This window comes from Homo sapiens, chromosome 5 (assembly GCF_000001405.40).
Source record: "Homo sapiens chromosome 5, GRCh38.p14 Primary Assembly".
In the NCBI taxonomy this organism is placed as follows: Eukaryota; Metazoa; Chordata; class Mammalia; order Primates; family Hominidae; genus Homo; species Homo sapiens.
The window spans coordinates 93,156,950-93,173,770 of NC_000005.10; the positions used below are offsets into that span (position 1 = coordinate 93,156,950).

General features: G+C 38.4%; 1 long non-coding RNA gene across 2 annotated transcripts in view; it reads right to left on the bottom strand.

Moving 5' to 3' along the window:
- The window catches only part of LOC105379083 (uncharacterized), a 55,405-nt gene that overhangs the window by 21,165 nt on the left and 17,419 nt on the right, over positions 1 to 16,821 (bottom strand). Inside the window, exon 1 of one of the 2 annotated variants that reach the window (XR_948569.3) lies at positions 5,412 to 5,538. The exons of the other annotated variant lie outside the window; for it this stretch is intronic. This is a non-coding gene — a long non-coding RNA (uncharacterized LOC105379083). Of the gene's footprint in view, positions 1 to 5,411; positions 5,539 to 16,821 lie in introns of those variants that run through there. 2 annotated transcript variants of the gene reach the window in all.

Genomic DNA, 16,821 nt, shown 5'->3' on the forward strand with positions numbered 1-16,821 from the left:
AGAAAAACATTAGCACTTGAAGGATTTTTTTTTTTAGAGAAAGAAACGATGTTTTTAAAAAGCATTATCATGTTGTTCAGTACACAATTGGGTACTTAATGGTATGCTGTCTTGTTTTATTCTCTACTGGAATTGCTAAAGTCTAGAACTGGACATGACCTCAGACCTCATCTAGTCCAACCCTTTAATTTTAAAGATTTTAAAGAGAACACCATGGAAAAGTTTTTTGGCAGGGAAATAATCTGAAGACAGATTTTCAGATTCCCAGATTGGTGTTTCACTCTATTCTGTCTGTCTCAGACGTTTTAGAAGACAGTAAGTTTGGGATTGCCAATATGCCTATATCTTCATAATAATTCTCAAATACTTACCCCCAATGAATTTCCAAGGTTTTTTCTTTACATTTTTCTTGTAAGTCTAAGAAGGATAAGTTGTAAGAAAGAGAGAAATCCAGACAGAAAAAAATTATGGTATGAAGACTTTAGATATTTTTTAAATTAGTTCTAATAATAGCAGCAAGTATTTAATGCTTACTCTATCCCAGATACTGGAGATGAACAGGTGGGCAAAAGTATACAGTGATCCTGTGATCAAAGAGCTTAAACCTAGTGGAGGAGTCATACATTAATTTAAAAGAACAGAAACCCCAGCACTTTGGGAGGTCGAGGTGGGTGAATCACGAGGTCAGGAGTTCAAGACCAGCCTGGCCAAGATGGTGAAACCCTGTCTCTACTAAAAATACAAGAATTAGCCAGGCATGGTGGCTGGCACCTGTAATCCCAGCTACTTGGGAGGCTGAGGCAGAGAATTGCTTGAACGCGGGAGGCGGAGGTTACAGTGAGCCAGGATCGCACCACTGCACTCCAGCCTGGGTGACAGAGCAAGATTCCGTCTCAAAAAAAAAAAAAAAAAAAAAAAAAAAAAAAAAAACAGAACAGAAACACATTTATTGAGGGTTTTTAATGTGCCAGAAACACTGAAAGAGTGCTTACTCATTAACTCATATAATCCTAACAAAAAAACTTCAAGATAAATAATATTACCTTTACTAACATCATCCCCATTTTATATATGAGAAAACCAAGTCAGCATGAGTTTAAGTAAGAGCCATAAGGTCTGGCCGGTGAAGGTAGAGAGAGGAGATTTGAACCCAGGGAATCTGAAGCCAGACCCCAGACCTGACTTGCTTAACCACCAATGTCTGCCATGATGATCTATAAAACAGGAAATGTGGCAGGAAATGTTCAATGCCATTAGAGAAGCCCACAATATTTTCTTCTGCCTTTCAAAGAAATAGATATTTAACTTAAAACTATTAACCTTAAATCACGGACCCCTTCGATCTGAGTTAAAAGGAAGAGTGCAATCTATTTGAAAACAGAGGAATGACTACTTCCCATTCTAGTCTCAATTACCACAAGGGACAATAACCCAGATCTAAAAACATTTTATAACACCGGGACAAAACACCTCTCATTTAACTTATGTGGAGCACTCAAAAAAAATCACATGACCTTTGTAATGGGCAAACCACTGTGATGACATAGGCCTTTAGTTACTGGGTGGGCATTACCCTCTGGCCTCTGCATGATGTTAGCAGTCCTACTTCTTGGCACTATGCTGTAAGTTGAAGCATTTTGCTATGAATCTTGCCTTTCTGACTTTGAAAGTAGGGTGACCAATTGTCTCAGATTGCTTGGTACCGAGGTCTTTTCCAGGATGCAGACTGGAAAAACTGGGACAGAACTAAAAACAAGGACAGTCTCAGGCAACCTTGTCTTCCTACTCATGCTTAGCATGGCAGCTGAGTGCATGAGGAATTGATACAGCCCATGTGAGTGGAAAAGATCCAACCCTGCTCATTTCTGGGTAGCCATGTCCGTCTTCATGGACTCCATTGTTGATCATAGCTGATGAAATTAGTGGTTTCTTTACTTAGCACAGTGATAGCTCCTCAGTGAGCTCACCCTCTTCTTCATATGACAAAGCCACAAAAACATCTTGGCTGTCTTGGGCTATAAGATTGCCTTTGCTCCAGATGTGGCTTTCATTTGATCCTCAACGTGGGCATCTTCCCTGTTGCAGGACTCTGTGGCAGGCCACTTTGACCGTCACCCCAGTGACTGTGCTGGTAGCGGGCCAGCTGACAGCCTCAGCAGACTGTGGGGATCTGAGGTCATGTCTCAGGCTTGTGTCTGCCTGAACAAGCCATTCTGCCCTTCCAGCTCTGCTGCAAACACTTCTTGTTAGGAGGATTTGCCATGACAAAGTTTCCTCCCAGAATTCTATATAGCAAATATGCATAGCATCCCTCTACCGAGCCTTCCTTCTCCACCCATTCCCCTTAGTTTTACTACCCCTCCCACTGCCAGCAAGGGTTCGAAGCCAGAGAGATGAGCCTGGACATGAATGTCTCTATCCTTACATTTACTTCTCTCTTTGAATGACACTCCTTCCCCATCAGAAGGCTTTATGTTTCCTCCTAATGGGAAGTGTTCTTTTTTTTTTTTTTTTTTTGAGAAGAGTCTTGCTCTGTTGCCCAGGCTGGAGTGCAATGGCACGATCTCAGCTCACTGCAACCTCTGCCTCCCAGGTTCAAGCAATTCTCTGGCCTCAGCCTTCTGAGTAGCTGGGATTACAGGTGCATGCCACCATGCCTGGCTAATTTTTGTATTTTTTAGTAGAGACGTGGTTTCACCATGTTGGTCATGCTGGTCTTGAACTCCTGACCTTGTGATCCACCCGCCTCTGCCTCCCAAAGTGCTGGGATTACAGGCGGGAGCCACCGTGCCCAGCCCCCGGGAACTTTTCTTACATCACATTCTATATATCTCTACAATGGAGCTGGCATGTAGAGGGAAGCTCATGAAATTAGAAAACCCTAAACTTAAGAATTGAGGTTGCTACTCCAAGCTAAGCAATGGCCTTCTATGCCAAGGGACTCTGCCTGAAACTATAAATGCTATTGGTTCTATGAATAAAAAGTTACTAAGCAACTTGCTAAATACATCAGCAATACTTGCAAAAATATTAACCTCATTATACTTTTTAGTTGTCTTAATTTCATACTGTCTTCTTATTTTTTTTCCTCTATTTTTTACCACCATGATAGCAAATGAATCTGTGGCAACATTGCCTCTGCCAGAATGAGACAGAAGGAGCCCTGCACCTGAAGGAGGGGACATGTCAAAGAATATCTTCCTTCTGCCCTGCCAACAACACGCCACCCTGTTAAAACAGCAAGTGAAATATAGCTATACGACAACCATTCAGAAGGGTTATTTAAATTCATTTCCTAAAAAGACTTTTTTTTGATCACTGGAAAAAAATTTAATTTTTAATCTTCACAAATGGTAAGATCCCTTGTTTGCTCACTGATAATTTTTATTTTAGATATACTGCTGTACCTCATGGTGGGCTTTTCATGAGAATATTTGACACAGAATCATAGACTATTTGAGCCCACTAGGTCCCAAGAGGGCATCTAGTACAGCCTTTTAAAAATTTTTATAGACTTTATTTTTTGGTGCACAGCAAAATTGAGAGGAGAGATTTCCCATATACTCCCTGCCACAATGCTGCACAGACACCCCCATTATCAATATCCCCCACCTTTCTATCAATCCCAAAGAGTATATTTGTTACAATAGATGAGCCTATATTGACGTATCATTACCTCCCAAAGTCTATCATTTACATTAGGGTTCACTCTTGCTGTTGTACATTCTACAGGTTTGGACAGTTGTTTAATGACGTGGTTCCATCATTATAACATCAGAGTATTTTCACCACCCTAACAATCCTCTGTACTCCATGTATTCATCCCTCCCTCCCGACAACCCCCGGCAGTGGGGACTGATCTTCTTACTGTCTCCAGAGTTTTGCCTTTTCCAGAATGTTATAGATTGGGAATCATGCAGTATGTAGCGTTTTCATATTGCCTTCTTTCACTTAATCATATGCATTTAAGGTTCTTCCGTCCTTTTTATGGCTTGAAAGCTTATTTCATTTTAGCACTGAGTAACAGTGCATTGTCTGATGTACACAAACACCTCAATACACTCTGGCACAGCCACTTTGGAAGACAGTTTGGAGGTTTTTACAAAACTAAACATTGTATTACCATATGATGTAGCCAGTTGCACTCCTTGGTATTTATTCAAAGAGTTGAAAACTTACATCTGCGTAAAAACCTGCACACAGATGTTTACAGCAGCTTTATTCATAACTGCCAGAACTTGGAAGCAACCAAGATATTCTTCAGTAGGTGAATGGATAAATAAACTGTGGTCCATCCAGACAATGAAATATTATTCAGCACTTTAAAAATATTTTTAAACCAACAGGATTATGAAATATTTCATTTCCTCCAAAAAGAAATCTTGCTTAAAAACTCCACATTGAAAAAGCAGTGGCACTCTGTGTTTGAGACCAGGATGGAACCCTGGAGCCGAACCCTCAAAAACCTCTGCTACACAGGCATAGCAGAATTTTTAAGCATCCTTTTGCAAAGCATTGATGACCACCATCAAAGACTGGCAAAGCCTGATTCCCAGGCCACCTCACTGCTAAAGATCACACTGTAGGTTTGGCTTCCTGACTGTCTCCACTATTTCATGCTTACACATATTTTAGAGTATTTTAACAAAGGTTTGGTACATTTACTAAAGATTTTTTAGTTGTATGCCTATTTACACGTCTTTAAGTTATTTTGGGAACTGATTTTCTTTTTAGTGGTGACAAATCTTTAAGCTATATATCAATAGAAGAAAGTGATTCAATTTTCAAAAATTCTATATTCAGAAAAAGTTGTTTAAAAAACAAAATGCAGCTCTGCTATTTCCCAGCACCTCTTTGAATGGGAACTTCAAGAACTCAGTTGAATCCTGGAACATGCCAAACATAATCCCAAGAGAAATTTCAGGAGACAATTCTTTCCAAGAAGATACTTATCCACATAAGCAAATTATTATCTGACATAAAGCAAATAGAATGAGACTTAGGGATTTAAACAATAATATCAGATTAAAGAAAAAAAATGTTAAACTGACTGTTCAGATCACAAAAAGGTGAGAGCCTTAGGGGTTCTGAGAGCTTTTTTACAAGTCTAATTTCTGAGATTTGAATATCCATTAAGTTGTCTTATACTTTGGAGGACTTTGTGCAGATGTTTAAACTTCAAGAACTATGAGTTCTTTAAAGCCATGGAAGATTGATTTCATGTTTTTCATTTACAGCATTTTGATGTGGACTTGGCAAAGAATAAGGTTCCTGTGCTAATTTCCTCTTGCTCTATGTAATTAGTCAGCATTTTAAATGAGGCAACAGGATATAATTGCCTACTGACCATTGCAGCCCATTTGTTTATGACACACTCCCCAGGCTTTTAGATGTACAATATTATTACCCACCTCTTTATTTGTGTTGCTGTCTCTTTCCACTTTTTTAATTTCTCCAGTTCTTCTCCCCTCAATCTCTGCTTCCTTTGTGGGCAATGCAAGAGGCTCTTTTCCTTCCAGCTGGCAAGGCATTAAGGAGGTCTGAGGGGGTGTACAAGAGTGACTTACATACTCCCTGGAGGCCAATTACACTTGGAATCCTCCTGATCTGCCCTGATCAGGGAGTGCGGCTTCCCCTCACAGTCTATTGTGCTAGCTCTGAGCCACCTGATCTGCCTGGTCCTACCCAGGACTTAAATTAGGGTGTCACCAGTCCTGGACCCATGTCAGGGCCTCTAGGTAACACTGGGGAATAAATTAACATGCTACTGTTGTTCCAAAGCCACATGGATACCATTATTAGAAACCCATCAGCAATAAAGGAGGCTGTTTCACAAGTCTCAAGAAGAAAGGGGATGAAATAGCATCATTCAATTGTGTGTTATTGCACTGTGTCTTAATACAAAAATTAGCATGTTGTCTTTATTAGTTTGGTGGAAAGGTGATTACAGTTTAATATGGCATCACATTATGTAGCTAGTAGTATAACTTTACAGCAAGCATTTCTTTCAAGATTGCCAAATATCTATTTTTTACAAAGAAAAAGAAAGAAAGAAAAAAATATAAGTTCAGGCTTTATTCATGTGTTACCTAAACTTACAATCTTAACCACCAAAAGGCTAATATAAGTGGTCAAGCTGGTTTAGAGGAACACTTGCATAGCAAAGCAATGACAGAAAGGAAGGATATGGGAAAATGACTAATAGGCAAGTTAGCAGACATCAAACAATCTGGCTCCAAGTAAGAATTATTTGAGAAAATATGTGTTTCAGAATCAATAGCAATGCACTTCACAGAATTTTGGAAAGCAAACAAGACTTTGAATTTATTGAGGACAAATCTTGGCAGGACATCATGATGAAATGCTTTCATTTCACAGCAAAAAAAAAAAGAATACATATTTTTGTTGAGATTTCCTGCATTCTTTTTGGTTTTTTCCAAGGCAGTTTGTGATATTGCTACTGAAACTGTGCAGTGAATTTCCACAATAAGTTTCATAGTCCTTCACATTCCAAGTACACATCTATTAGGTAATTACATTTATCTGTATATCAGCCATTTTACTTTCCACTGCTTTTATAATCTGTATTATAATGTCCTGAAATGAACACAAAAGAAGGAGGGAGGGAAATCATGCCCTTTAAACAACTCAAACAGCTTTTTAAATTAGGCAGTAAAATATTTTTGGGTAGATCATATTGTCATTCTTCTCTCTTAAAAAACTATGTATATAACAATATATGAAGTAATATTCGATCTGATACTATTTTAGAAAAGTATAGATCAGAAATGACTTTTTACTCTATAATAAATGGGCAATACACAGTTAATATAACTTCTAGAATATGAAACATTTTTAAAAATTATTTGCTATTTTAAGAAAGTCAAAGTAATCAAATTTTTATTCTGATTTCAGAGTATATCTTGTATCTTTTTTAGAGAGAAAGAATTTTAAAATTGCATAATGACCTTAATTTTTATCTTTCTGTATAGCTCAGATTAATCAGGAGTAGCAGGTAAAATTATGCCAATAATAAAAAATATCAAAATTATTTCAAAAGTATTTTAAAACTAATTGAAATTTATGTCATGTAAGGAAATACTTAACTATATGAATCATGTCAGTTTGAATTTCTGTTCAAAATTAGTTAGACATATTTTGTCACAACTTATGTCTTTAAAATAGTTGTTTAATACATAAAGAATTCAGATAAAGTGGTTTTAAAAATAGTGTCTCAATAATGAATAAACAAATATATGAAAGTAACAGAAATTAATAGTAAACATGGAAAAAATGTCAGCCTTATTAGTGATCACATAAATACAAATAACATCAATAAGATTTTTATAACAATCAAATGTATAAAGACTTAAAAATTTAAAAGTTGATGAATGTATAGTGAGACAAGTACTCAGTAATAATGACAGTGTAAATTTCTGAAAAGCAATTTGACTCTATCACAATCCTTATAATTTTTCATATCTTTAGTTAATTTTGCTTCTTAGACTACATATTAAGGAACTAATACAAAATTTAGTCATAAATGTATGTACCACAATTTTTATTACGTATTATTAATATAATCAAAATATTATTACTTAATTGTGTGACAATAGGTTAGTGGCTAGGTAAATTATGTTGCATAACATGTAATATCATGCAGCTATCAAAATCAATTGCCAAAAAAATTTTGTGAAATGGGAAAATGTGTACATGATTTTAAACTTAAATGCCAGATTCAAAACTGAATATACAGCTGTATTCCAACCATATTTTAAAAATATATGTATATCTGGAACATTTGCTCTTAGAACTCAGTTCCATGCTGTGAGGAAGTCCTAACAGCCCCATGGCAAGGATCCTAGAGAAAAGATTTAATTTACTTGCCCAACAGCTCCAGTTGGACTAAGTCATGCAGTCATCCCTGTCAAGATGCCAGATGTGTGAGAAAAGCCAGCTAAGACCTTTCAGGTCAGCCTATTTGCCAACTGAATGTCACAAAGTAACCTCAGGAAATGCCGTGTGAGAAAAACAACAAACACCTATTAAGCCCTGCAAAAATCCCAGATCTACACAATTATGAGATATAATCAAATGGTTGTTTATATGTAAAGATATGTAGATGCGGATATAGATAAATGAAGATAGGTAGATATGAATCTAAAATAAATGATTAGAAAGAAATACTCTAAAATATTAATAGTGGTTATTTTTGGTTAGGATGTTTATCAACAAATTTTTAATATCTTTTTGTACTTACCAAGTTTCCAATGATAAACTTGTATTGCTTTTATTTCAAAATATAATTTTGAAAAAAGAAAAATGTGTTAATCACTATTGTTTTAAATAAAATATATCTTTCACATAATGTATCCAGAGAAATATGGCAAAAAGAGCTTTGGATTAAATTACCTGCTTTGAAATTTAAATAGTTTAAATGACTAAGTCATTAAAATTCTAAAAATAAAAATGCTTTCCTTAAACATTTGCTACTCAGGCTCTTTTAATGAATCTAACCAAATTTAGAAAATAATAGTCGACTACTTTATACATGGGTGATGTTAGGCTCTGAGATCTTCAGTGATGATAAAGTACTCATATACTGGAATCTAACTTTGGATTGGTGAACCAGATCATTCATCCATCAGTTTATGGACATTTTCAGTTTTGTTCATCAGCTTCATTTCAAATTCCCAGGAACTGAATTAATTGCAGGTGTCTGCTTCCAACAGGAGTGCAGTCTTTAAATTATACATGTCACTGCATCACTTACATCATGTCACATCCTGTTATGTTTCTTCCTGCCATAAACTAGCAAAACACAACACGACACGAGAGAAATGCATTGACATGGTACAAGATGTCAAAAAATAAATACTACATTTTAGCAGATAATATGGTACAGATATTTTGAGTTATCTGAATTCTTTTGAATGACTTGGTTTACTTTATTAAGGTAAGGTAAGCCTCCAGCAGGTTCTGCAAAAGCTGATAGCAAAATCATTTGGGGTTGGTCACAAGCTATTTCAACTTAAGTTTGCAGATTTTAAAATGATAAATGATAATATGGTACAGGAGAAACATTGGGATTTATTCAGGCGGCATTTGAAAAATCTATTACAAATAAACTGTGAGGAAATTGTGTAGAATGGTGACTTATAATGGAATAATGGTCATGGCTTCATGACAAGAGCACTAATACAGAGGAGTATTGTTGTAATGTGCTGTACAAGCAAGAGTCAGGATATGCAAATCAAAACGCTAACATACTAGTCCATCCTGACACTGCTACAAAGAACTACCTGAGATTGGGTAATTTATAAAGAAAAGAGGTTTAATTGACTCAGTTCTGCAAGCTGTACCGGAACTATGGCTGGGGAGGTCTCAGGAAACTTACAATCATACCCCAAAGTGAAGGGGAAGCTGGCACATCCTCACATGGCCTAGGCTAATATATGTGTTTGTGTGTTAGTTTTTAAAAAAAAGATTGAGAATTTAAAAATAAAATTTAAAAAGCAATAATAGAAAAAAATTATAGAATAAGGATATACGGAAAATATTTTTGTACAGCCATACAATGTGTTTGCGTTTTTTTGTTTGTTTTTGTAGATTTTTTTTTATACTTTAAGTTCTAAGGTACATGGGCACAACATTCAGGTTTGTTACATATGTATACATGTGCCATGTTGGTGTGCTGCACCCACTAACTCGTCATTTACATTAGGTATATCTCCTAATGCTATCCCTCCTCGCTCCCTCGACCCCACTACAGGCCCTGGTGTGTGATGTTCCCCTTCCTCTGTCCAAGTGTTCTCATTGTTCAATTCCCACCTATGAGTGAGAACATGCGGTGTTTGGCTTTTTGTCCTTGTGATAGTTTGCTGAGAATGATGGTTTCCAGCTTCATCCATGTCCCTGCAAAGGACATGAACTCATCTTTCATGGCTGCATAGTATTCCATGGTGTATATGTGCCACATTTTCTTAATCCAGTCTGTCATTCATGGACATTTGGGTTGGTTCCAAGTCTTCGCTATTGTGAATAGTGCTGCTATAAACATACATGTGCATGTGTCTTTATAGCAGCATGATTTATAATCCTTTGGGTATACACCCAGTAATGGGATGACTGGGTTAAATGGTATTTCTACTTCTAGATCCTTGAGGAATCGCCACACTGACTTCCACAATGGTTGAACTAGTTTACAGTCCCACCAACAGTGTAAAAGTGTTCCTATTTCTCCACATCCTCTCCAGCGCCTGTTGTTTCCTGACTTTTTAGTGATCGCCATTCTAACTAGTGTGAGATGGTATCTCATTGTGGTTTTGATTTGCATTTCTCTGATGGCCAGTGGTGATGAGCATTTTTTCATGTGTCTGTTGGCTGCATAAATGTCTTCTTTTGAGAAGTATCTGTTCATATCCTTCGCCCACTTGTTGATGGGGTTGTTTGTTTTTTTCTTGTAAATTAGTTTGAGTTCATTGTAGATTCTGGATATTAGCCCTTTGTCAGATGAGTAGATTGCAAAATTTTCTCCCATTCTGTAGGTTGCCTGTTCACTCTGATGGTAGTTTCTTTTGCTGTGCAGAAGCTCCTTAGTTTAATCAGATCCCATTTGTCAATTTTGGCTTTTGTTGCCATTGTTTTTGGTGTTTTAGACATGAAGTCCTTGCCCATGCCTATGTCCTGAATGGTATTGCCTAGGTTTTCTTCTAAGGTTTTTATGGTTTTAGGTCTAACATGTAAGTCTTTAATCCATCTTGAATTAATTTTTGTATAGGGGTTAAGGAAGGGATCCAGTTTCAGCTTTCTACATATGGCTAGCCAGTTTTCCCAGCACCATTTATTAAATAGGGAATCCTTTCCCCATTGCTTGTTTTTGTCAGGTTTGTCAAAGATCAGATGGTTGTAGATACGCAGCATTATTTCTGAGGGCTCTGTTCTGTTCCATTGGTCTATATCTCTGTTTTGGTACCAGTACCATGCTGTTTTGGTTACTGTAGCCTTGTAGTATAGTTTGAAGTCAGGTAGTGTGATGCCTCCGGCTTTGTTCTTTTGGCTTAGGATTGACTTGGCAATGCAGGTTCTTTTTTGATTCCATATGAACTTTAAAGTAGTTTTTTCCAATTCTGTGAAGAAAGTCATTGGTAGCTTGATGGGGATGGCATTGAATCTATAAATAACCTTGGGCAGTATGGCCATTTTCACGATATTGATTCTTCCTATCCATGAGCATGGAATGTTCTTCCATTTGTTTGTGTCCTCTTTTATTCCGTTGAGCAGTGATTTGTAGTTCTCCTTGAAGAGGTCCTTCACATCCCTTGTAAGTTGGATTCCTAGGTATTTTATTCTCTTTGAAGCAATTGTGAATTGGAGTTAACTTATGATTTGGCTCTCTGTTTGTCTGTTATTGGTGTATAAGAATGCTTGTGATTTTTGCACATTGATTTTGCATCCTGAGACTTTGCTGAAGTTGCTTATCAGCTTAAGGAGATTTTGGGCTGAGACAATGGGGTTTTCTAGATATACAATCATGTCATCTGCAAACAAGGACAATTTGACTTCCTCTTTTCCTAATTGAATACCCTTTATTTCTTTCTCCTGCCTGATTGCCCTGGCCAGAACTTCCAACACTATGTTGAATAGGAGTGGTGAGAGAGGGCATCCCTCTCTTGTGGCAGTTTTCAAAGAGAATGCTTCCAGTTTTTTCCCATTCAGTATGATATTGGCTGTGGATTTGTCATAAATAGCTCTTATTGTTTTGTGATGTGTCCCACCAGTACCTAATTTGTTCAGAGTTTTTAGTATGAAGAGCTGTTGAATTTTGTCAAAGGCCTTTTCTGCGTCTATTGAGATAATCATGTGGTTTTTGTCTTTGCTTCTGTTTATATGCTGGATTATGTTTATTGATTTGTGATGTTGAACCAGCCTTGCATCCCGGGGATGAAGCCCACTTGATCATGGTGGATAAGTTTTTTGATGTACTGCTGGATTCGGTTTGCCAGTATTTTATTGAGGATTTTTGCATGATGTTCATCAGGGATGTTGGTCTATAATTCTCTTTTTTTGTTGTATCTCTGCCAGGCTTTGGTATCACGATGATGCCGGCCTCATAAAATAAGTTAGGGAGGATTCCCTCTTTTTCTATTGATTGAAATAGTTTCAGAAGGAATGGTACCATCTCTTCCTTGTACCTCTGATAGAATTTGGCTGTGAATCCGTCTGGTCCTGGACTCTTTTTGGTTGGTAGGCTATTAATCATTGCCTCAATTTCAGAGCCTGTTATTGATCTATTCAGGGATTCAACTTCTTCCTGGTTTAGTCTTGGGAGGGTGTATGTGTCGAGGAATTTATCCATTTCTTCTAGATTTTCTAGTTCATTTGCGTAGAGGTGTTTATAGTATTCTCTAATGGTAGTTTGTATTTCTGTGGGATCAGTGGTGATATCCCCTTTATCATTTTTATTGTGTCTATTTGATTCTTCTCTCTTTTCTTCTTCATTAGTCTTGCTAGCGGTCTATCAATTTTGTTGATCATTTCAAAAAACAGCTTCTGGATTCATTGATATTTTGAAGGGTTTTTTGTGTCTCTATCTCCTTCAGTTCTGCTCTTATCTTAGTTATTTCTTGCCTTCTGCCAGCTTTTGAATATGTTTGCTCTTGCTTCTCTAGTTCTTTTAATTGTGATGTTAGGGTGTCAATTTTAGATCTTTCCTGCTTTCTCTTGTGGGCATTTAGTGCTATAAGTTTCCCTCTACACACTGCTTTAAATGTGTCCCAGAGATTCTGGTATGTTGTGTCTTTGTTCTCGTTGGTTTCAAAGAACATCTTTATCTCTGCCTTCATTTCGTTATGTACCCAGTAGTCATTCAGGAGCAGGTTGTCCAGTTTCCACGTAGTTGAGCGGTTTTGAGTGAGTTTCTTAATTCTGAGTTCTAGTTTGATTGCACTGTGGTCTGAGAGACAGTTTGTTATAATTTCTGTTCTTTTACATTTTCCGAGGAGTGCTTTACTTCCAACTATGTGGTCAATTTTGGAATAGGTGCGGTATGGTGCTGAGAAGAATGTATATGCTGTTGATTTGGGGTGGAGAGTTCTATAGGTGTCTATTAGGTCTGCTTGGTGCAGAGCTGAGTTCAATTCCTGGATATCCTTGTTAATTTTCTGTCTCGTTGATCTGTCTAATGTTGACAGTGGGGTGTTAAAGTCTCCCATTATTATTGTGTGGGAGTCTAAGTCTCTTTGTAGGTCTCTAAGGACTTGCTTTATGAATCTGGGTGCTCCTGTATTGGGTGCATATATATATTTAGGATACTTAGCTCTTCTTGTTGAATTGATCCCTTTATCATTAGGTAATGGCCTTCTTTGTCTCTTTTGATCTTTGTTGGTTTAAAGTCTGTTTTATCAGAGACTAGGATTGCAACCCCTGCTTTTTTTTGCTTTCCATTTGCTTGGTAGATCTTCCTCCATCCATTTATTTTGAGCCTATGTGTGTCTCTGCACGTGACATGGGTCTCCTGAATACAGCACGGTGATGGATCTTGACTCTTTATGCAATTTGCCTGTCTGTGTCTTTTAATTGGAGCATTTAGCCCATTTACACTTAAGGTTAATATTGTTATGTGTGAATTTGATCCTGTCATTATGATGTTAGCTGGTTATTTTGCTCGTTAGTTGATGCAGTTTCTTCCTAGCATCGATGGTCTTTACAATTTGGCATGTTTTTGCAGCGGCTGGTACTGCTTTTTCCTTTCCATGTTTAGTGCTTCCTTCAGGAGCTCTTTTAGGGCAGGCCTGGTGGTAACAAAATCTCTCCGCATTTGCTTGTCTATAAAGGATTTTATTTCTCCTTCACTTATGAAGCTTAGTTTGGCTGAATATGAAATTCTGGGTTGAAAATTCTTTTCTTTAAGAATGTTGAATATTGGCCCCCACTCTCTTCTGGCTTGTAGAGTTTCTGCCAAGAGATCCACTGTTAGTCTGATGGGCTTCCCTTTGTGGGTAACTCGACCTGTCTCTCAGGCTGCCCTTCACATTTTTTCCTTCATTTCAACTTTGGTGAATCTGACAATTAGGTGTGTTGGAGTTGTTCTTCTCGAGAAGTATCTATGTGGCGTTCTCTGTATTTCCTGAATTTGAATGTTGGCCTGCCTTGCTAGGTTGGGGAAGTTCTCCTGGATAATATCCTGAAGAGTGTCCAACGTGGTTCCATTCTCCCTGTCACTTTCAGGTACACCAATCAGATGTAGATTTGGTCTTTTCGCATAGTCCCATATTTCTTGGAGGCTTTGTTCATTTCTTTTTACTCTTTTTTCTCTAAACTTCTCTTCTCACTTCATTTCATTCATTTGATCTTAATCACTGACACCCTTTCTTCCAGTTGATCGAATCGGCTACTGAAGCTTGTGCATTTGTCACATAGTTCTCGTGCCATGCTTTTCACCTCCATCAGGTCATTTAAGGACTTCTCTATACTGGTTATTCTAGTCAGCCATTCGTCTAATCTTTTTTTCAAGGTTTTTAGCTTCTTTGTGATGGGTCCAAACTTCCTTTAGCTCGGAGAAGTTTGATCATCTGAAGACTTCTCCTCTCAACGCGTCAAAGTCATTCTCCGTCCAGCTTTGTTCCGTTGCTGGCGAGGAGCTGCATTCCTTTGGAGGGGGAGAGGCGCTTTGATTTTTAGAATTTTCAGCTTTTCTGCTCTGTTTTTTTCCCCATCTTTGTGGTTTTATCTGCCTTCGGTCTTTGATGATGGTGACGTACAGACGGGGTTTTGGTGTGGATGTCCTTTCTGTTTGTTAGTTTTCCTTCTAACAGTCAGGACCCTCGGCTGCAGGTCTGTTGGAGTTTGCTGGAGGTCCACTCCAGACCCTGTTTGCCTGGGTATCAGCAGTGGAGGCTGCAGAACAGCGAATATTGCTGAACAGCAAATGTTGCTGCCTGATCATTCCTCTGGAAGCTTTGTCTCAGAGGGGTATCTGGCCGTGTGAGTGTCAGTCTGCCTCTACTGGGGGGTGCCTCCCTGTTAGGCTACTTGAGGGTCAGGGACCCACTTGAGGAGGCAGTCTGTCCATTCTCAGATCTCAAACTCCATGCTGGGAGAACCACTGCTCTCTTCAAAGCTGTTAGACAGGGACATTTAAGTCTGCAGACATTTCTGCTGCCTTTTGTTCAACTATACTCTGCCCCCAGAGATGGAGTCTACAGAGGCAGGCAGGCCTCCTTGAGCTGCGGTGGGCTCCACCCAGTTCGAGCTTCCGGGTGACTTTGTTTACCTACTCAAGCCTCAGCAATGGTGGGCGCCCCTCCCCCAGCCTCACTGCCACCTTGCAGTTTGATCTCAGACTGCTGTGCCAGCAATGAGTGAGGCTCTGTGGGCGTGGGACCCTCCGAGCCAGGCGCGGGATATAATCTCCTGGTGTGCTGTTTGCTAAGACCATTGGAAAAGCTCAGTATTAGGGTGGGAGTGACCCAATTTTCCAGGTGCCGTCTGTCACAGCTTCCCTTGGCTAGAAAGGGAATTCCCTGATTCCTTGTGCTTCCCGGGTGAGGTGATGCCTCGCTCTGCTTCAGCTCATGCTCTGTGGGCTGCACCCACTGTGCTGCACCCACTGTCTGACAAGCCCCTGTGAGATGAACCCGGTACCTCAGTTGGAAATACAGAAATCACCCATCTTGTGTCGCTCACGCTGGGAGCTGTAGACTGGAGCTGTTCCTATTTGGCCATCTTGGAACCGCCCCCCACAGCAGATCGTGTTTGTGTTTTAAGCTAAGGGTTATTACAAAAGAGTCAAAAACCTAAAAAAGTTTTAAAGTTTATAAGGTAAAAACTTATAGTAAGCTAAGGTTAATTTATTATTGAAGAAAAATACTTTTTATAAATTTAGCGTAGCCTAAGTGTAAAGTGTTTATAAAGTCTACAGTCATGTACAGTAAAGTCCTAGGCCCTCACATTCACTCACCACTCACTGACTCACCCAGAGCAACTTCCAGTCCTACAAGCTCCATCCACAGTAAGTGTCCTATTTGAGTGTACCATTTTTTATAGTTTATACTGTATTTTTACTGTAACTTTTCTATGTTTAGATCCACATATAATTTACATTGTGTTACAATTACCTACAATATTCTGTACAATAGCATGATGTACAGATTTGTAGCCTAGGAGCAATAGGCTATACTGTATAGCTTAGGTGTGTAGTAGGCTATAACATCAAAGTCTGTGTGAAGGCACTCTGTGAGGTTCACACAACAACAAAATCACCTACCAACATATTTCTTAGAACATTTCACTGTTGTTAGCAATGCATAACGGTACTATGCTAAGGACTGACTATACAAAAACTAACAAAACCTTGTTCTTTCTCTCTAGTGGAAGAGAGGGTTACATAAGCCAATCATTGTAATACAGTATGATTCCTGCTTATAAAAGGGGGAAGAACAAAGTAGAGCTCCCTAGAAGAGAGAGATAAAATCCAATTGTGTATAGAGGAAGAAAATTTTGCAGCAGAAGAGGCACTTGAACTGCCTGAGTCAGAGGACCAAAACCACATGGCCCTCAAGAGAGGACCAGGAGAAATGGAACATGCATAGTACATGGGGTGGAACGAGGATGGAAAAAAGAGAGTAGCAAGTTGTAGATTTGGGCTTAATCTTTGGTAATGAAGAACTATTGAAGGCTTTTAAGCAGGGAAATATGAGCTGATCAAATCTGTGTTTTAGAAAAATCAATGAGGACAACTTGTAGGACTTCAAAGGAGGAACTCACAAGGAGGGAAATGAAATAAGAGCTACTCAATAATCCATGAAAGAATTATGAAGG